General features: G+C 35.4%; 1 protein-coding gene across 38 annotated transcripts in view; it reads right to left on the minus strand.

The window, feature by feature from the left end:
• Positions 1-22,671, minus strand: part of PTPRD (protein tyrosine phosphatase receptor type D) — a 2,298,757-nt gene that overhangs the window by 1,441,171 nt on the left and 834,915 nt on the right. For all 38 annotated transcript variants that reach the window (NM_002839.4, XM_017014961.3, XM_006716827.5 and 35 more), the window contains one exon: positions 11,394-11,435. The gene's annotated coding sequence lies outside the window, so the exon portion shown is untranslated. The remainder of the gene's footprint in view (positions 1-11,393; positions 11,436-22,671) is intronic.

Consider the following 22,671-nt stretch of genomic DNA (forward strand, 5'->3'; position numbering starts at 1 on the left):
GGGTAGATTGTATTTTTGGAAGAATAAGGCAGAGCTCCTCAAACTCTTCCTCATTCTTTCTTCCTCAGGCCTTTGGAGGCAAGCTGATCTGCTTAAGGTTCACAATCAGTTTTATATTTTTCTAAAGGTTTGTGCTTCCAGCAACTATGAAGAAAAATTGGGTAAAATAACAAATATAGTACAGTTATTATAATCCTTCGCTACTGTTACTTGATACAGCTTGGTTGCTTTGTTTCTATTAGTAAGGTAGCATTTACACACGTGGAAATTTAAGCAATTGTATAAAAGAATACAAAGGCAAACGAAAAACACCTGAGGTTCTGATACAGCATAGGAATTACTGCTCTCATTTTGGTAAAAATTCATTTAGACTTACTTACTCATTGTCAAATATTATTCAATTTATATAAAATTATACCTGTAATTACATTTACATATTTTACATATATAAACATAAAACATATAATTTTATATTTTAAAACATTTTATGGTTTGCTTTTCCATGTCAATGATGCTTTTAATAATTATATAATCATGAATACCGTTCTTATCAAGTAGAAAATAATTAGACCGAGGTTAGAGCTGCTGTCAGCTGTTTTATCTCCTTCAATTCTTATATTGAAGAAATGCATTCCCTCTCATAAACCTTTATATTCCTCTTATTTTTAGATTGAGGATATCTGGAAAACTCCCTCCTTCTTTCAACACCTCTCTGTTCTAATATCGACCTCAAGCCACTTTAGAAAAAAATATTCTGACGAACGACAGAGATGAACATAAATTCTAACTCTGAGTCTTCTGGAGCACCAGAGGGTTATGTGAGATTCATTAGCTTCTAAATAAGACAAAGTCTATGGTTTCTCTCTCAGTATTTGCCTCTTGTGATGACTTTGATCCACACTTCCTGGAGAGTGCTTGCTAGAACACTAGTTCCTTTGGATTCAAAAGAGAGCTACACAAGTTTAACATTGTAACATTTATTCAGTTTTAACAATGGTTTACGTTCATTGTATTGGTTACTTTATTGAATTCTTACAACCACCATATAAGGTAAAAGCCATTTCTATCTATATAGGAATAAGTGGGAAACTGAGCCTCAAAGAGGGTAAGCAGAAGGTCCACACAACTTATTCAAGTGGAGCAGATAGGGGGTGGGGGTTGGAGGAATGGGGAACAACTGTTTAGTGGATACAGAGTTTTCCTTTGGGGTAATGAAAATGTTTTGGAACTGGATAGAGTTTGTGAATACATTGTGAATGTACTAACTGCCACTGCATTGTTCACTTTAACATGGTTATTTTTATGGTATATGAATTTTACCTCAATAAAAAAATTAGTAGAGCAAGCAATTAAACCCTGTCAGATTCCAGAGACCACAGTCTTAAAGATTACAAAATACTGCCTCCCATGTGGTTAAGCTAGCTCCACATTTTTCTAGACTGAACATTAGTGACTTTCTACTGCAGAAGTTTTCAATGTCTTTGTTGTGCTGAAAAACATGCTAGTCGTTTTCAAATTACTTTTTCTGTGAAGCTCATTTTACCTGGAAAGTTTCCACAAGAATGTGTTTCATAAAATACTTTTATAGAATCACTGTTTTCTTCAAACCAATGAAAAGAATGTTTATTACAGAATTATTTTATCTTAGATGGTCTACTTAGTATGACAGCAAAAGTTCACAGGAATTCAGGCCCTATAACAAAGATTGGGCAGTTTACCGAGATTCCCTTTATGACCATTCCTTAGCAGTTGTTCATAATATAAAGAGTAAAAGTGCAAAGGATACTAATCAATTTTATCTTTTATTCTCTGCTTGAAAACATTTAATATTTACTCTTCGGTTAAGTTTCATGCAAATAGTAGCTCTGCTACATGCACATAAATCTATTTAAATATCATGATAAAAGACAAAAGATGTAAGGAAGTATACATTGGCATCTGCAATTTTTAACACAGCAGCTTCTGGGCTTAAATAAGTCTTTCATAAGCAACTGAAAACACTAATTTTATGAATTTGAAAAAACAAATGGATGTTTAATGTAAATTTTCAGTATCATTTTTGTTCAGTTATTTTCTCAATAGGGAAGACAACGATTTCAGAAAAAGTTAAAACACTTGGAAATTCAGAGCAATAATTTATTATAACATAATTATCTCTTATTTGATCAAAATAACTTATAACCCAATCTTCCTATTCTCTTTTTAATATATTAGCCACTAGAATTTCATAGAAAGGATGTGGGGTTTGGGATTAGCTAAAACTCAGTTTGCCTGTCACATATTATGCATTCTATTATTCAGTTTCTCATATAAATATAAGAAAGGATATGCCTATCTTATAAAATCTTCATCATGAATTCATAAGCCATCCTTCCAAAAATATGTATATACTTTTAACCATCTTACTCATCATAACTAAGAATTTTGACTCTGCTAATTTTTACCAGCCTGCCATTATTGACTTCACTTCCTTCTTTGCACATTGTGGAGCCCAAGTGAAGCCATTTCCTGGGGGGTTCCTAGAACCCCCGAATCTCTGATCTAAGTCATAATTATTACCAACTTATCAGTGCTTACATTTGGATAGTTCCACTGCCATATCTGCCGGTGAGCCTCTCGTGTTGCTGGGGAAAAGTCCCCAAATAATACTGATTGGGTGTATTGCAAACACATCCTAACACCTGCGGGCTGTATTTGAACTGCTCAGTTCACATCTCAAGAGTAAAAATGGCAAAAAAAAAAAAAAATTGTATTCTCCCTTAGCAGACTTTTTTTTTTATTCCTGAATAAAAACATCACTTATTTCCTTATAAAAAAACAGACATTATTCAATGTAGCTCTCTTACTTCCATTCGCTTGGCTTTTGTATATTTTTATTGATGTTTACTTTTAAGGCAGTTTTTATTTTATGAAAGCAACACAAACCCATGTACCTTCTCATATGTGAAGACTGCTATATGCCCACCTGTGATGGTGGCTGATGAGGGGTAGGGATGGGTAGGAGAAGGTCAAACCTCAGCCAGCTCTGCCACATTAGGCAACACTATAGAAGTGCCCTCAAGAAGTAATCTGAAGAATCACCAAATGATTGTGAGAGAGGCAGCGTGTGAGTTCCAGGTTCTCAGAAAGTACATAAAGCCAAAGATAGAACAGTGGCTACAACCAACAAAGGAGAGACAGCACTTGCCAAGGAGAGTTACATATGGAAGGACTGTGTCCCTCCTTCCTCCCTTGCCCCAACCAAGACAGACAGCAGGGAAGCAGAAAAAGACATGAGAAAGCAAGGACGCTCCAGAACCTCTTACCATTCCCTCATCGCCACCCACCCCCAACCCCCATCCCACTACTCCCACCCCCCATATATTCAGAGCAACTGGAACATCAAGTCTCTCTTGTGTACAGGCAAGGGGAAGATCTCTGAATCAAATATGAGGTTGAAGATTTAAAATAATCAAAACTAATTCTTAATAATAAAAATAAGACACTTTAATAACAAAAAGTGACTGAAAAGCTATAGAATTGTCAAATGTGATTAAGGTAGCAAGTATGTTACCCAGCAAGAAAGGAATGCTGTCAGAGAATGGAAGGTGGTGTTTAAAGAAAAAAAGTTGTATCATTTTATACCCTCAAGATTTCAGACTTTTTATCAAACCAATTTTGATGATTTCCGTAGTAAAATAATTTTCAAAAATAACTTATTCCTTAATTTCTATCTTTGAGCAAGCAGGTCCCTAGCTCCTTTTTCACAGTAAATCTATTCCTAGCCTGATGCCCCTGAGATCCTATAGTAATACACATATGGTCTAGCCTGTGTTCAGTCAGTCTGTACTGGTAATGATTACATTGGTTATTAAAATATTAAACTACTATGTACCATTGGTAAACTGGCACTGACTGCCGCAAACCCCAGCCCCTAGTGCTCTGGTAGTCTTGGTCGCTCCTCAAGAAGTCCCCACAACCCAGTAATTAAAGTGTTAATGCTAGTACAGCTGAGGAGCCTCCCAGTCCCTGCTCTACTGAGTGGAGTTCTGTTTGGTTAGCACCAGTACCTTATTAGTTTTAAATTTTGAGTATAAACTCAGTCTGTAATGTAGAATTCAGAAAATGATGCAAACATCTTCAAATAGTCAAGGTCTGTCTTTTTTTTTTTTTTTTTTTTGAGATGGAGTCTCACTCTGTCACCCAGGCTGAAGTGTAGTGACGCGATCTCAGCTCACTGCAACCTCTACCTCCCAGGTTCAAGCAATTCTCTTGCCTCAGCCTCCCAAGTAGCTGAGATTACAGGTGCCCACCAATACGCCCAACTAACTTTTTTTATTTTTAGTAGAGACGGGGTTTCACCATGTTGGCCAGGCTGGTCTCAAACTCCTCACCTTGTGATTCCCCTGCCTCGGGCTCCCAAAGTGCTGAGATTACAGGCATGGGCCACTGTGCCCGGCCAAGGTCTGTCTGAAATGATAAATTGTTTCCTTTGCCACTGGATCTCCTCTGTAAACAAATATGCTCTATTCTTTCTATAATTTCAAATATATCTTTCTTTCCTTCTCCTCTAACCTGGTGTTGTACATTTTGCTCATGTTAAACTTCCAGTATTGCCTGCTTAACTAGATTGCCAAGATTGTCTATCACTAGACATTCAAGATAATGGATTTTCCCTCTGAAGTTTCTCATAGTGTCTTGAGAAGGATCTCGTTACAAAGTGGATATCGCTACCCTATTTCTGTGTGTAATCTGAGTTCTAGATTGTAGCCTCAGCAAGCTTTTCCTGTCTCCCCGGGTCTATGCCACATATCAAAAATACATCTACTTTTTTTTTGTTACTGAAAACATTCATACATCTTACTGAAACCACTCAAATGCTGGTAGTATTTAAGGTGTATGATAAGTGAGAAAACCTTAGTGTTTTATGTAAGACAAAGTCCAGGAAATAGAAGAGTATTTATTTACATACAGTAAAATTTTTGAGGGTAAAACATTATTCTGAATTTCAAGGAGACACAAGGGCTTGATATTTTTGCCCTCCAAGACCTGCTCCAATACCTTCTTAACTGTCACATGTTCATAACCTTTATTTCTATCCTTTATTGCTTCTCAGGACTTCGGACTTATATGTACAGCCTCCTGATTGTCTGTCTGGACTTTGAGAGATCTCTTCTTCCCCATCATCTTTACTCAGCTATCATACACACACACACACACACACACACACACACACACACACACACACACACACACACATATATATATATATTCCAGCACTGTTCATACGTGTACTCAAAACTCAGCAGTTTACAAATAATCTGATGAGGAAATAGGCAAACTACATGAAGATTTCACTGAAGAAGATAGACAGATGGTGAGTAACCACATGAAAAGACGTTCAACATCAATAGCCATTAGAGAAATGCAAATTAAAAATATTAATTCAATGAGATATCAGTATATACCTATCAGAATGGCTAAAATAAGAACGATCAACACCACCAAATGCTGGCAGGGATACAGAGAAATGAGCTAACTCATACATCACTGCTAGGAATATAAAATGGTACAGCTACACTGAAAAACAGTTGGGCAGTTTCTTATAAGACTAAACATGTAACTGCCATACAATCTAGCAACTGTAGTCTTGGGCATTTATTCCAGATAAAGGAAGACATATTCATATAAAAACACGTATACAAATGCTTATACATTAGTGTAACAGACAAAAACTGGAATCAGCCCAGGTGTCTTTCAACAGATAAAAAGTTAAACTGTAGCACATACATACAATGGAATGCTGATCAAAAATAAAAATGAACAAACTATTGATACATGCAACAACTTGGGTGAATCTCCAAAAATTAGGCTAAGCAAAAACCCAATCCCAAAAGGTATGATTCCATTTATATATCATGTTTAAAATGACAACATTTTAGAAATGGAAGACAGAGTAGTGTTGCCAGGAAGTATTGTTTAGGAAGAGGGTTGGGGTGGAAAAATGGAGGGAGGTGAGTGTAGTTATAAAAAGGCAACCTGTCAAATGCTCGTAGTGTTGGAACTATTCAATGTCTTGACTGTGGGGTAGGATACTTAAACTTACAAGGTGATAGCATTTTATAGAACATAATGAAGACAAACATGATTACAATGGGCATGGGGTAAATCTGAACAATATTGGGGGTTTATCTCAATTTCAATATGCTGGTTGTGATATTATACTATAGTTTTCCAAAATGTTGCCATTAGGGAAAACTTGGCAATGTGTACAGACTCTCTTATGTTTTATAGCTGCATATGAATGTAAAATTATCTCAATAAAAATTTCGATGAAATTAAAAAAAAACTATTCATTATCATTCCATCAAATTGTCTCCCCTTCCCCCCACTCTGTATTTCTACATAAACTGAACAGAATTAGTCCCAATTGCCTACATCAAAATCTGCGAATTATTCCATGCTCCACCTCTTTCCTCTTTATTTTGATCATGTTTGCAAAATATAATATTTTAATATTCATTGCTTTGGGATATTGGTCTGCTTGGGCTGGCTTAACAAAATACCAAAGACTGAATGACTTAAACATAAATTTATTTTCTAATTCTGGAGGAGAGAAAGTCCAAGATCAAGTGTGGCAGCACCACCTCCATAACTGTAGGCCAGTGTCCGAATCCCAAGGCTATAGGAAACCCCACCCTTACATCACTCCAGGACAGTCCTGCCCTCAAGGCTCTGAACAGAGGTTGTCTGACCTGTTGAAACTGTGGCAGTAGCCCTGATAACTTCCCTCTTGGAAGAATAGTGAATGTTTGCAGCCAAAAAGCCCTATTGTCCTGTCAAGTCCAAGAAGTCCAACAGTCTTTCTTCACTTTGTCCCATCTTTGTCCCTTCAGTAAAAACTGGCAGGATTTCAGCTGGTATAATCCCAAAAGCTCTTCTTGAAGTGACAGTCTAGCTACACTCTTGGTGTTCTCTTCAGAGTACGCTTGCTTTTTTTGCAATATAAACAGACTGAAAATTTTCCAAATCTTTAGGTTTGGTTCCTTTTATTTTTGTTTAACAGTTTGTTCTTCAATTCCTCTCTCTCCTCTGACATTTTACCATAGCAATCAAGAGGGACTAAGCCACCCTTTCAACACTTTGCTCAGAAACCTCCTCAGCTAAACATCTAATTTTATTGCTCATAAGTTCCACAAAACACTAGAACACTATTCAGCCAAGTTCTTTGCTGCCTTATAAAAAGGATTGATTCTCTTCCAGTTTACACTGACATGATCCTCATTTCTACATAAGACTTCATCAGAACCGCATATATTTCTTTCATGCAACTCAGAACTCTTCTAGCCTTTATTATCAAGATGTGAAGACACTTCCAGATTTTTTAGGTATTATTCATAGCAGCACCCTATTTCTTGATGTCAAAGTTTGTCTTAATCAGCTGGGTTGCCATAGCAAGATACCATAGACCAAGTGGCTTAAACAAATGAAATTTCTTTCTCACATTTCTGGAGGCTGGGAAGTTCAATACCAAGGTGACAACAAGGTAGATTTTATTCTGAAGCTCTTCTCTTGGCTTGTTGGTGGTTGCCATCTTGCTGTGTGTTCACATGATCTCTCCTTTGTGTGTAAGCAGAGAGGGAAAGAGAGAGCGATCTCTTCCTCTTCTTATACAGCCTCCAATTCTATCAAATTAGGATCCCACCTTTATGACCTCACTTAACCTTAATTACCTCTTCAAAACCCTGTCTTTATAGCAGCTGTGTTAGAAGTTATTCAATGGATTCATCCTACAAAATGTAAAACACATCAAAGTTTCAAGAAAAAATAGAAATCACACATATGCATACCCATGACATAGAGATAATCACTGTTAATAATGATGGGTGTGTTTCTTTTCAGTCTTTTTCTAAGCATTTTCCTGAACCCTGTCCCCTAACAAAAGCACATCAAATACATGACTGAGTACCCATCCATATGTATCTGTTTTACATACATAATATATATGTATTAAAGGGGTATGGTATTATAATATTATTTCACAATTTGTCCTGTTTTTAAGAACAGTCTTCTTTAAAAAATCTTCAAAATTATAATTTTAGTAACAGTAAAATATCCCACATTTTATCAAAATTTATAAAAGGTTCCTTATTATTTTGTTTCCCATTATCATGTTACAAATAACAATATGATAAACACATCATTCATAAATCTTAGCTCTGTAAAAATAACCTAACTATAATCTACATCTACCTTCAAGAACAAAGTAAAAGGGTTCAGCTCCCCACTTTCCAATCTGTACACTTACTGCTACTATCATTGTTTGACTTCAGACAACACATTCTTTATTTCACTGTCCTTCTTCTTTTTTGATAATTTGCATTAAAAAGTTTATTAACCCCTAAGTACTTTAATTCCTTTTGTCATGTCACAGAAAGAATTGAAAATTATATATTTTTAAATAGACACAATCACATTGAAATATTATGCATTCTTGACGACCTCTCACCCTCATGCCTCTATATATGACTGATATTTGGCCAATTCCTCATTTTTTAAAATATATGAGGTGTCAACCCCTCCAAGAAGCCAGATTGATTAAAATTTATTTTATATTTGCACGACCCCCATTCCTTGAGCACCTCTCCATTGTAGCATATTGTGTTAAAATTAATGTATTTACATGTCTCTTCCCATCTAAGATTATAACTCTTATGAAGGCAAATAATGTATCTGTTTCTTCTTTGTACCCTTAGCACCTAATGCCATATGACACATAATTATTTATTAATGAGAGTTGAAACAAACATTTGAACTAAAATATTATGGGCATGCTATGGAGGTATAATTTTTTCTAATCTATCTACATTTTATAATGCGGTGTTCCATCTTTGATCATACTAACAAAACCTAAAATTAAATCAAATGCATTCAAAATATGCTTGTGCAACATGAAGACCCCTTATGTATGACACACAAATCTTTAAAAAATAAATGAAATTTTGAAAAGAAGTTCGCAAAAACCGTTGCCCCCACTTCAAAGAAAAGAGTGCCCACCTAAAAAGATAAAGACAAATATTATCACATGTGCTTACATAACTCAAAACTTACAAGTGTATATTAGAATCATTCCTCTTCTATTAATAGGATGATTGAGATTATTATTAAGAAGTTTAAAACAAAATCCAGCTGATTACAGAAATGGAAAAAAGTAAAATCATATTTATTATATGTTTATTACATAACAGATATAAGAAACACTTTAGGCTAATTGTATCATTTTAATGCCTCCACAACCCCTGTGATTATTGTTAATAAATTCATTTTATATCTTAGGTAGCTTCTCCAGGATTCCACGGATAGCAAGTGACAGACTCATACTTCAAACCCAGGAAGGTCCAATTTCAAAGTCACGATCCCCCCAACTGCCTCACAGTGTAATAACACCTAGGAAATGTTCTAGTTTTCAGTTCATTACCAGAAATATCATTTTCTGGAATATCAGGAGAAAAGAGTGGTAATGACTAACAGCAGGCTCGAGGTTGAAGCTGCACATCCATGGGAAACTGAGATTATTTGCATTGTGCTATGTTTGATTAAGTCCCTGCCAAATGTCATGCCAAAGCCTTGACACAACAGAGATTTGTGCCTGGAGCCATTCATTCCCTGTCTGGCAGTGCACGTCAGCTGGCTTATTTTCTTTGGATATTCTAAAGTCACATTAGTCTCTTTACAGATATGGAAAATGACCAAAAAATTATATGAAAAAGAGTGGCAAAAAAAATATCTGGGAGAGTTTTCAATTTTATTATCTCAGAAAATTATTAACATACGCATTTATAGGAGGCTTTCTTCTTCCATATGAGTAACACTGCAGAAAACATAGAGTATGTTTTGGGCCAAATAAAAAATATGAGTATGTACATATAACCGTATTTCCCCAAGCATTACGTTTGCATGAGATAGAACAGGCATCAATTACTAATGATAGTATATATGCCTACATTTTTCTGATAACCTCAAACCAAGGATGCCCAACTTTTATTTCAATGTAAAATTACTCTAATACAGGGAAAAATAAAGAACAGTGACTCATCAAGTCATGTGTGGGGCTGGAAGAACCTTGAATAGGATAGCTGATGTAGAGAAGTTTTAGAGAAACCCTTGTCAGACATTGTGAATCTATTCAATATTTAAATATATCTACAAAAATGATAACTAACCTTCTCCCACTACCTAATCCTGAAGCTTACGTAAATTCTTTTATTCGTTTATTTATTTTTGAGACGGAGTCTCGCTCTGTCGCCCAGGCTGGAGTGCAGTGGCATGATCTCGGCTCACTGCAAGCTTCACCTCCTGGGTTCACGCCATTCTCCTGCCACTGCCTCCTGAGTAGCTGGGACTACAGGCACCCACCACCACCCCTGGCTAATTTTTTTTTTATTTTTAGTAGAGACGGGGTTTCACCGTGTTAGCCAGGATGGTCTCGATCTCCTGACCTCGTGATCCGCCCGCCTCAGCCTCCCAAAGTGCTGGGATTACAGGCGTGAGCCACCGCGCCCAGCCCGTAAATTCTTTATATGTTAGTTCAAGCAATTTTTCTCTTGTTAATTTCTCTTTAGAGAAGCCGTGATAATTAATAGCTCCTGTATGTGATATTTATTTTGTCAGTTGTCATCCTCCTTCACGACTGTCCTCAGGAATCTTAGTTCCCTTACTCAGTACTCACAGGTTTTCCTCTATGTAACGTTTATTCATCTTATACATTTTCTTTTCAACTCTCTTTTATAACTCAGTTATAGCTCATGATCTTTTCAATAATCTTTAATAACATCTTTTTTCATGATAGCATTCCAGTTTGAAATAACAGGCATTGTGTATTAACCTTGAACTATCCCCCCTATCTTTCATGTAGTACGTTTATATACTGTTTACTGAGCTGTTAATGTGTTTATTTTCCTAATTCCTTCCTCTTTTTAAATTGGTTTTAATTCTAAATGTATTTCTCTATTTGTTCCCCCAAAACCTAGATACTTTTAGGTAGTTCTTGCCTGATAATTTAATTTACATATGTCCTATTTCAATAATTTCATCTTCAGAGTCATTAAAGACATGTTAAACATCTTTCATCAACCTTTGAATAGTTCCATTATTTAACTTGCAAGAGCATTAGTGTTAACAGTTCTTTTAATATAGATTTTATGGATTAAGGCTTTCTGTACCCAGGCAATGGTATATATTTGATAGCCAGAATTCTAATTCTGATGTTTTCTCACTATTACATATTACCAGACAAAAAGTGCATGTCCCATGATACCGTATTTCCAAGCATGCAACAGTAATATAATTATTGTCATAATATTTTTATACTTCATTTATGGAGAAATTTTAAAATATATTTTAAATATACTCACCTTTGTCCAAGGCACATTCTGCTGTGGTCTCAGGACAGAAACCTAATATAAAAGAAAGAATATTTCTATTAATATACTTAGTAAATGCATAGATTGAGAAATACCAATATATAAAACTAAAATAAGAACAAATTTTAAAACTCCATCATTGCTCATATTGTGTATCTTCCCATTAATTTCAAAAAGATGTCTTATCTTTTTTTTTTAATTAAAGCACATTAAGACAAAAAAGACAGAATGCAAATACTCTGTAATACTTCATAATTTGAACCCAAAGGACTTCTGTTCCTTTATGTCTTAAAATAAACTTTCCAGGAAAAAATTATAGAAAGAAAGAACATATACAGATATCAATTTTATGCAAAAAATCAAACATCGCTTTTCAAAAATGCTACATGAATTATTAGATTTAAATCAGAAAGATGAAGCAGGTTAAATAGATTTTATAATAAAAGCATTATAATGTTTGTTCATCAAAAAGTGGCAGTGAAGCACTCATTAAAGTTAACAGAGATAGACTTTTATAGTAATAATGTTTCAAAAACTTTCAGGCAGTGCATCTAGAATGAAGGCACAGATAATAGATTTAAATATGTTCTAATGAACTTGAGTACTTTAAACATCAAAAGAGAAAATAGAATTGCTGAGTTGAAGCACCAAATTTCTATTATTTCTAGCTTATTATTCTATCAGATGCAGTGTCACATTTCTAAATATGTTCAGAAACTCATCTACCTAAAGGCACAGATTATCTAAATCTGAGAACTCACATTGCAAATGTGATAAATCTAATTATAAGAATTTCAATTAAATGTAGAAGGAAAAAATCACTTTGTTCATATGTTCTGGCATTCTATCTGCCTAAAATTTCCAGAAAAAATCTATTTATCTTGTGATCTCTACCACTATTTTGGAGTAAAATTTTTTGCTATGAATGAAAAATAACACCCTAAAAAAATAGAAGTATAAGCAATTTTCTTCCATATTTAATATTCTCAAACTCAAAGAATTTCAGTTCTAGAAGAAACCTAACTGGACCATCCAGTAAACTGGATTCAGACTTATGATTTAAGGGATTGGTTGTTATTGTTATATGAAGATGTCTATGGAGCTACTGGGTGATGGAAGGAAATCAGGTTACTGTGTGTTCTAGAATGCTCCGTAAGCTATCATCGAAACAGCACAAAATACAAGTGCATCCATACATACACCATCACTTAGATCATATAATAATTAGCAACAGGATGTTGTTGCTTAAAATACATTTATGCTTGTGGTTTTATACATATATAAAATCCCCTAGGCCAACTTCTTTATTTGATGGCCAAAACTAGTCTTTTTCACACCTTCTAGATTTTATTTGAATCTTGGTTCCTTGGATAGCTAATCAGCCAACGCTGTAGACTACTTACATACCCTCTCTGAGACTTGAATTTTCATGTACAATGAAGCAGTTGTAAAGATTAAATGAGTCATTACAAATAAATTGCTTAGAACAGTTTTTGGGACATAGTGACTAATAAATGTTAGCTATTAAAACTATTAACATTTGAAAAGTAAAATATTAAATAATTTTGATATTTTAAATATACTTATGTCTTATTCATAAATGATATTTCTACTCTACCACCCGTCAGTGTAAAAACCTTAGCTTATGTTTCATTTCTTCTCTTATTATGTTCAAATTAATTGAGAAACACAAGTATGGATGATAAACTTTATTCATGAATTTTACATCAGAGAAATCAAAGTAAAAATGGCAGTACTTTTTTTTTGGCAGGGACGAAATGAGGCATTTTAAATTCTTCCTAATAGCTATAATTTTATGTTCTATGCTTACATGCAGTCTGGCATGACTAGAGAAACAGAAAACCTCCTTAAATGACAAGGAAACAAAGTTTTCCACAGGTCACATAAGAATCCAATTGTCTAATAGCCATGAAAACAAAAGTATGGGGTAAAGGGATTGCTTAAACCTCTGAATAGTCAGCATTACTGCCAGGCTATGATGAATTTATCACAGAGAAACGTGGTACGAACGTAATCAGGGTTGAGCTTAAAGAGTAAACAGACAAACTTCAGTTTGTAACATGCACATCTCTCTAGCCATTAGGAATAGCTTCGGCATTATAATCGGATTAAGGTTACTTGTTCTGATTTTTCTGATAGGCACATACACCCTAGGATGGGAATAAGTTATAGAACGAAGGAAAGGAGGAGGCATATTTACTATTTAAGATTGGTTTAATTTAACTTTAATATAGGCTAATATTAGGAGGAAATAAGACTTCAGAAGACAAAAAGAAAAAATGAACAAAATAACAACAAGGAAAGAAGAAAAATAAAACGACTATGAGCTTAATAAGAAAAGTTCTGAAAGTCAAGCTTACAGGGTGGACGATATATTTTGTAAACTACATTTTAACCAGAAGCCCTTTTATACACTGGTGGTGTCAAGCTTACAGGGTGGACAAGATATTTTGTAAACTATGTTTTAACCAGAAGCCCTTTTTTTTTTTTTTTTTTTTTTTTTTGAGATGGAGTCTCACTGTGTCACCTAGGCTGGAGTGCAGTGGTGCAATCTCCGCTCACTGCAAGCTCCGCCTCCCGGGTTCACACCATTCTCCTGCCTCAGCCTCCCGAGCAGCTGGGACTACAGGTGCCCGCCACCACACCCGGCTAATTTTTTGTATTTTTTAGTAGAGACGAGGTTTCACCGTGTTAGCCAGGATGGGCTCGATCTCCTGACCTCGTGATCCGCTTGCCTTGGCCTCCCAAAGTGCTGGGATTACAGGCTTGAGCCACCGTGCCCGGCCACCAGAAGCCCTTTTATACACATGTGCAGAACTTGCAGGTTTGTTACACAGGTATATATGTGCCATGGTGGTTTGCTGCACCCATCAACCCATCATCTACATTAGGTATTTCTCCTAATGCTATCCCTCCCCTAGCCCCCCACCCACCAACAGGCCCCGGTGTGTGATGTTCCCCTCCCTGTGTCCATGTGTTCTCATTGTTCAACTCCCACTTACAAGTGAGAACATGTGGTGTCTGGTTTTCTGTTCCTGTATTAGTTTTCTGAGAATGACGGTTTCCAGCTTCATCCATGTCCCTGCAAAGGACATGAACTCATTCTTTTTATGGCTGCATAGTATTCCATGGTGTATATGTGCCACATTTTCTTTATCCAGTCTATCACTGATGGGCATTTGGGTTGGTCCCAAGTCTTTGCTATTGTGAACAGTGCTGCAATAAACATTCATGTGCATGTGACTTTATAGTAGAATAATTTATAATCCTTGGAGTATATATCCAGTAATGAGATTGCTGGGTCAAATGGTACTTCTAGTTCTAGATCCTTGAGGAATCGCCACACTGTCTTCCACAATGGTTGAACTAATTTACACTCACACCAAAAGTGTAAAAGCGTTCCTATTTCTCCACATACTTTCCAGAATCTGTAGTTTCCTGACTTTTTAATGATTGCCATTCTTACAGCGTGAGAGAAATTTTATATTACATCACAATTTAACAAGTAACAACCAAAGTCACTTTTAAGAAAAATACGGTGGTTTAATCTTACTTTTTTTAAAATTTACACCAAAATAACAACTGAACTTCCATAAGCAAAACTAAGATACATTTGTATTGGTATTAGTTATATAAAGATGCAATATGTTCAGTGCCTTGAAATAAAACTAATCCTTGAACACAGTATTATTTTTTGTCACCATTTAATGTAATCTAAAGTGAAATTTTCCACTATTCTCATTCTGCTTGTTTTCAAATGTCTCATTCCTATCATAATACTCAGAGTACTTAACCTGTAAAATATGAATGTTTTCTTAATATTGATTTAGTGATGCTGACAACATAAAAAACAGGCCATGTTTGTTTGTTGATTGCTTCCAAGTATATTCACTGCACAGGTTGAAAATCTGGAGAAAAAAATAATTCCATAAAACAGTTCATTAATTACAGATGGATTTCTAGAGCCAAAGAAGTATATTGATGAAATGAGAAGAGGAAGGGTAGGAGGTGAGGGGAATTTTGTTTTTGTTGCTGTTATTTTACAGTTACTGTGCTTTAAAAGAGAGGTCTATATTTAGAGCCTACTTGGAAATGGTCAAATATGCACAGTAATGCAGTATCATTAGAACTACAAATCTTTCCTGTGTTTTGACTACAATAAGAGGTATTCTTACAAAAGCAGATGGAAGTCAACAATTATTACTTCACCAGAGCAGAATCACTATTTTACTCCAAAACAAATTAAATGATCATCACAATGATTTATGCACCTTATGCCCAATCTGAATGTTGTAAAGTTGCTCAAGATTATGTTCTTTTTCCCACCTTTATTAACTATTAGTATCTAATAAATTTGACTACATAATATATCTATATAATTTCCAGAGATACACATAGAGTCAATGTTTTATATCATTTCTCATCACTGTCTATTTCTTTTAAGGTATCTGATAGTTAACACATTCATAAGTGTGTGTATATATAAGCTGCATTTAAAAAACATATTTCCAAACCTAATTCATATTCTGAAGTACATAATTATTTTATGTCATTTGTGGTCAAAATTCGATGTATCCATCTTGTTACTGTAATGGAACCAACCATGTCACACATGACAAGTTTATAACCATAAGAAGTTGAGCTTATCGTGGAAGCCTTTCTCTCAGTTGTATCATTGTTTCCCTGTCAAAGCTGTCAGAAGATCATAAGGATAGGCAGCAGAGTTACTCCACATCACCTTATTTAAATGTTAAGCCTTTAAAATAACTTACTTTTTTCAACCTATCTTGGAGGAACTTTTAACTTCATTTTAAATTCCCTACTGACATACAACCCAATTTCAAGAGCATACATCCCTACTGATGTGTGACGTTTCAATGACATTCTGTATTCCAAAGAAAGATGCTCTATACAGTGTGTAAACCGAATTTAAGAAATCAAATAAAATTATTATTAAATCCAATGTCTTTGTATCTGCTTAAACCAGATGTGTTGTAAACAGAATGACTTCAAAATAAATCCAGAACAATAAGTGTGCAACATATTTTACTCTCATAAAAGACAGTAATGATGCCATAATAATTAGTGAATAAACAGATAAGCATCATTGTTTATTTGTATTACATTTTAAGAAGAAACTAGAAATTTCAACATATTGGTGTTATGCGCTGAATTGTGTCCCATAAAATTCCTGTGTTGAAGTCCTAACCCCCAGTACCTCAGAGTATAAGTGTATTTAGAGATAGGATATTTTAAAGGGTCATTAAGTTAAAATAATGCCATTAGTTTGAGCCCTAATCCAATGTGACTGGTGTCCTTAAAGAGGAGGATGCTAGAACACAGCGAGAGATACACAGAAGACAGACCACATGAAGACACAGAGAAGACGGCCATCTACGAGACAAGGAGAAAGACTCTCAGAAGAAATTAACCTTGCTGATAGCTTGGTCTTGAACTTTTAGCCTACAAAATCATGAAAACATACATTTCTGTGGTTTAAGCTACCCAGGGTGTGGTACTTTTCTATGGCAGTTCTAGTAAACTAATACAACTGATAATTTCCAGTTAGAGTGTAGCTTTACACAAATATGCGACGGGTAAATTTTATCCTTAGTGTTCTTGCATTTTACATTTAACATTTATCTCTCACGGGCTCATATAATAGAAGCTCTCTTGATATTCCTAGGTTTCAAAGGGTTGTCCATCAGTGGACACAAGCTTCTCTTTCCTGCTCTGCAAATGCCTTCTAAAGCAATCTATTGACCTGAAGATTGTCTATCACAAACACTTTAGTTACTGAGAATAGCTTAGTATATATCTGTCTCTGATGATATCTGTCTATATAAAGTAAATATTATCTTTTTTCATATAGCAAGTCTTTCACATTGTTTTGATAGTAATGAGCAGGTGTGATAAAATTGCCATCTTCACTCATTGCTGGTGGCACTATAAATTGAAAAGCAATTTACAAGCTTGCATCAAAGTCTTAAAAAATATTTGCTCCCTTTTACTCAGTTATTTCACTTCTAGGAATCTCTCAAAACGACACATTCACGTATGCTGACAAACATTGATGTATTCTGATCATCCATTTCAGTACTATTTATGCTAGTCCCCTTCTTTCTAAAAAAGGAAATAAGCTAAATGCCTTATCATAGAATAAACAAACTGTAGTATTCCCATAGCACATAGGAAATATTGTGCTTTTATTTGTAAACCATGTTTTCAAAGATAACTTACTGTCATATGAATATCAAGTGAATTTTATGGTTTTAGATGAAGAGATAAGTGTATAAAAAGATCTCATTGGGTTAAACTATATTAATACAAGAAAATCAAGAATTCCCTTTAATGTAAACCTCCTTTCCCTCCTCATCCCCCCAAATGAATAGTTTCTTTTTATAAATCAGAGTAAAACACTCAGAATAAAGAAGGATATATGCCTTACAAGGGTTTTTCAGCACAGTTCTCCATCCTCTTAGGAAGCCCAGGGAGAAGAATGTTTCTTCCCACAGTTATAATATATGAATACAATGTGGTAACTGCTTCACTCTTGAAGTCTCCTGCTTCTCTCTAATATATACATGATGATTGACAGTGATGACATCCAATTAAAACTTCCCCTTTCTCATTTGGAGGATCAAAAGGTAATCTTCCTTAATTCTCTAAGAGAGGTATTATAGAATATCTCATGACATAAGACATAAAGAATAAAGAGTATTCCATCCTCTGCTCCATTCCCTCATTATAAGGTACATACACTGCTATATTAGAATGAAACAGTCTAAGCCTTGTTGTACCATGATCTCCAAGTGAGAGTTTAGCAAATTCATATTTTTACAAATAAAGAAAGCATTGTAAAAGGCACCTGGTCATGAATGCCAATTTATGCTGCTGAAGCAAGACTGATACCAGGTTGCCTGGAACATTCCAACATCCAATTCTTTTATAAACTGTGAAGACAGGTGCAAGGCCCTTTTGGTATACTCTACCCACAGAAATCTTGGGGAAAAAAAAAGATAAGCACTGTTCTTAGTGGTTATCTCTGAGTTGTGATTTTCTTTATTCTGCATCTTTAAATTATTTTTCCACCATAATATTATATTGCCTGTACAGGCAATGTCAATGTTTTATTCCAGAGGAGTGAAGTGTTAATCTCCTATTCTACAAACATGAAAAATAGGCTGGACTCATGCAGGTAAGTGGACATCTACTCTGCCTTTGCACTAAGGTCTGCCTTGTTCAAGTCATAGTGCTCAAAATGAGTTATACTGACAATGCTAAGGATATCGGAATCAAGAGTTCCAGGTCACAGTGTGCCCCGCAGCTAGAAATGATGAATCTTCAGGTGCTACTTGGCTCTTCAAGATCATTAAAACACATGGAGTTTGATTTTAATTTGTATCATCCTAGAGGACTTTTTATCTAAAATTCAAATTTCCTAAATTTAGAATTTTGGGGGCTAAGAGAATATTGATACATATTTACATACATTCACATTTTAAGATGTATTTTACTATCTAAACAACAGTGCACTGGTGAAAGTGCAAAATCCTTTTAACACAGTGGATAGGGTGATGATTTGGGCTCAGGGTCCAAGGGTTCAAGCACGAGGTTCCATCATTTATTAACCTATGTTCTTTAAGAAATCACTTGTCCTTACTAGGAATTGTAGTTGTCTGATTAATCTCATAGTGAATACCATCAACTTCAACAGCCAGCTAAGGCCACCAGCCTAAATAAATATCTGTACCTATAAAACATTCTTTCTATATATGAGCTACTAGTTCTATTCATCAGGCATTGAGCTCTTTAGTTTGAAGGATCCATTATACTTTTAAATGTGATGTAGGCATTCATATAGAAGCCTTGAGGGAGTTATTTTTTTAAAAAAGATTCTAAGTAAATGCTAATCATTACAGTGTGTCATAGCCTTAACATATTTCTTTTGTCTCCGTTTTGTTAACATATTGTAAACCTGGCAGTCTCCAGGAGGGTTAATCGTTATATTCTTTTGCTGTTTTATGCATGATAGTACCTCATAAATGCCTGATCTTCAAAACAATCATAAGCTACAGCAACAGAAAACAAAGTAATAATGGAATTAATGTGGAGTAATGGCAGCTCTGACATTATGCTGGGTTGTACATCATTATCGAAATGTAGCATTAGTACCTGAAAAGGAGACAAGATGAAGGAAGTAAGTCCCTCATTATTTCTGAGAGCTAAACTTGAGCACCAGTTTGGAGAGTCGAATGCTCCATTATCATCAGTCTGTAACAGGCATTTACGTATCTGTCACCCCACAAGTTCATCAACTAATTGCATTAATAATCGAATCCCATTTTCCTGTGTCTTTTTAATTTTAACCACAGAGAATTTTATCCATGAAGGTCACTTGTTTTATTGTACTGCTAACACAGACATATCACCATTAATACTTGAGTTAAAATATTTCTCTGAAGCTGAAGGGCTGGTTCCTTGTGAATTTTAATCTACGGGTTTTAAGAAGGAGGAGATCAGGGTCCTAAATTCTTGTTTAGTCAGAATCTCTCCATCTTTGGGCAAGTTATTTAACCTGTTTGACCTCATTTCCCTCATCATAGAATAAAATAATTAGAATTACAATCAAATAATTAATTCACCTCTGTATTTCTAGGATTTTACACCTAAACTTTCTTCTGGAGAGAAGAGTAGTAGATAAAAGATTCATGCAGCATTCAGAGGCTAGAATTCCTAATTGATCTCCCCACCTTCAATTTTATCTTCATCCAATCTCCCTTTCATTCTATTATAGGGAGATTACTAAAAAGCGAATTCTTGGCTGGTTGCGGTGGCTCACGCCTGTAATCCCAGCACTTTGGGAGGCCAAGGCGGGTGGATCACGAGGTCAGGAGACTGAGACCATCCTGGCTAACACGGTGAAACCCAGTCTCTACTGAAAATAGAAAACAAACAAACAAAAAAATAGCCGGGCATGGTGGCGGACGCCTGCAGTCCCAGCTACTTGGGAGGCTGAGGCAGGAGAATGGTGTGAACCAGGGAGGCGGAGCTTGCAGTGAGCCAAGATCGGGCCACTGCCTCCAGCCTGGGCAACAGAGCAAGACTCTGTCTCAAAAAAAAAAAAAAAAAAAAAAAAAGCAAATCCTTTTTATGTCACTCCCACTAAAGTTCTTAAAGAGCTTCTCATCACCTAGGTTAATATAAGCACTTTCTAGTAAAAGATTTCATCAAGTGAGTGACTCCTGCCTTGCTCAGCAGTCTTACATGCCCACATTTAGCCATGCCCACGTTCTGCTGGAGGAAAACTAAACCACTTGCTGTCCACTGAATATGTATGTTCTCTTTCATTTTTGAATGTTTAGATTCTATTCCTTGTTCTTGGAATACCCTTTTCCTGTTTATCCTCCTATCTAAAACTCTACTGAGGCTAATTCTTTCAGTACTAAGTTCATACCATCCCCCTTTCCATCTTTATCCTAGTCTTAGTTGTATGTTCCTAATTCCTCTTATATCTCTTGAACTCGTGTGCCATAACCCTTTCCTGCAATTGTTGCTTTACTGATCTGTATCTTCCATTATACTTATGAGCTTCCAGCCCTAATAAACTTTGCTTTTTGATTTTTCTCATCTAGCATCTAGCATAATGCCTGGCACACAACAGACACTGAGAAAACATCTGTTGAATGGATATGTGAAAAAATAAACAATATGATTCATAGTGTAATTTATTATTTGTTGCTCTTTTTGCATGTGTTGAATCCAAAATACGATCTACTCCCTTCTAGCTAACAAGAAAAAAAAGAACATGCTAGTTTAACAACCTAATCAGCCATTACATGTTAAAATGAAGATAGTGACTTTTACTAAACTTTTCCTTTACTTTAAAATTACTTTTTTTCAAAACCTTAAATTGAAAACAAAAGGAAGATCAATATAGTCTCATAAAGCACTATTTATATTCTCTTTCCAACAACTGCTCACTTCCACTTCATAGCACACCAGACAGCAAAGCCCATTCGTTAACTAGATAATAACCAGCTAATTTTACACACACATTTTCCAGTCAGTACATACTTTCTCCTGTCCTCTGGGTTGAAAGGCATAAATTCAGGGGATCAATTTTCTAGTCATTTACTAAAAATACCTTTTAAATTGAACATCCATGTGAGGACAGTCTGGGTACCACTGAAGAGTTGTTTTATAAACACATAGCTTGTCATGTACAACTTTACATTTTGAAACAGATATGCTAGTTGTTATGGCTAACATGTAATATAGTAAGAACACTGGAAAGTAAAAAATTAGAAACACTCTTACCTCTGGTCCTCAGATGTTCCTCAATAAAATGAAGTGATCAAAATACATTTTTAAAAACATTCTAAGTCCAGGATACTTATTTTGGAGGAGAAAAATCTTTCATAAATATCTGGTACCACTTTCCTCTGAAGCATCCCCAACACAAATAAAAATATGCACATACATGCACACACACACACACACACACACACACACCCCTAAATGTTTACGTGTCAAAAATAAATTCAACTATTTAAGATAAATATATAATTCCAGCTAGGTGTGGTGGCTAATGCTTGTAATCCCAGCCATTTGGGAGGCCGAGGTAGGTGGATCACTTGAGCCCAAGAGTTTGAGACCAGCCTAGAGAACATGAAAAAACCCTGCCTTTAAAGAAGAAAACACAAAATTTAGCCAGTTATGGTGGCACATGCCTGTTGTCCCAGCTACTCAAGAGCCGGAGGTGGGAGAATTGCTTGAGCCAGGAGGTCAAGTTTCCAGTGAGCCATCATCACATCACTGCACTGTAGTGTGCGCAACAGAGTGAGCCTCTATCTCAACAACAAAAACAAAAAAGTTAAATAAATAACTCTGGAAACATGTTGATATTGTATACTAATATTAAAGAAGGTTTTAATGGTTTTTTTTGTAAAATGCATTATAATCAGTAAAATGCATAAATTGTAAATTTCTATAAAGAGAATTAGAGTACCATCAGGTGAAAACATCATACCCTTCAACACAATTACCCCAAATGGGTTTATACATGAGTCATTGTCTATAATGCCATCTGAATAGCAGAAAGAAAATGCTAGAAAAGCATGGACAAAGAGGATATTCCAAGAATAGGACTAGCACTAGCTGTGATTCCTCAAGAAAGGCAGTGATAGAGAGGGGAGACAAGATGGCTGAAGAGACGCAGCTAGGAAGTGACACTCCCATTGAGAGA

The sequence above is a fragment of the Homo sapiens genome, chromosome 9 (assembly GCF_000001405.40).
Source record: "Homo sapiens chromosome 9, GRCh38.p14 Primary Assembly".
Classification (NCBI taxonomy): Eukaryota; Metazoa; Chordata; class Mammalia; order Primates; family Hominidae; genus Homo; species Homo sapiens.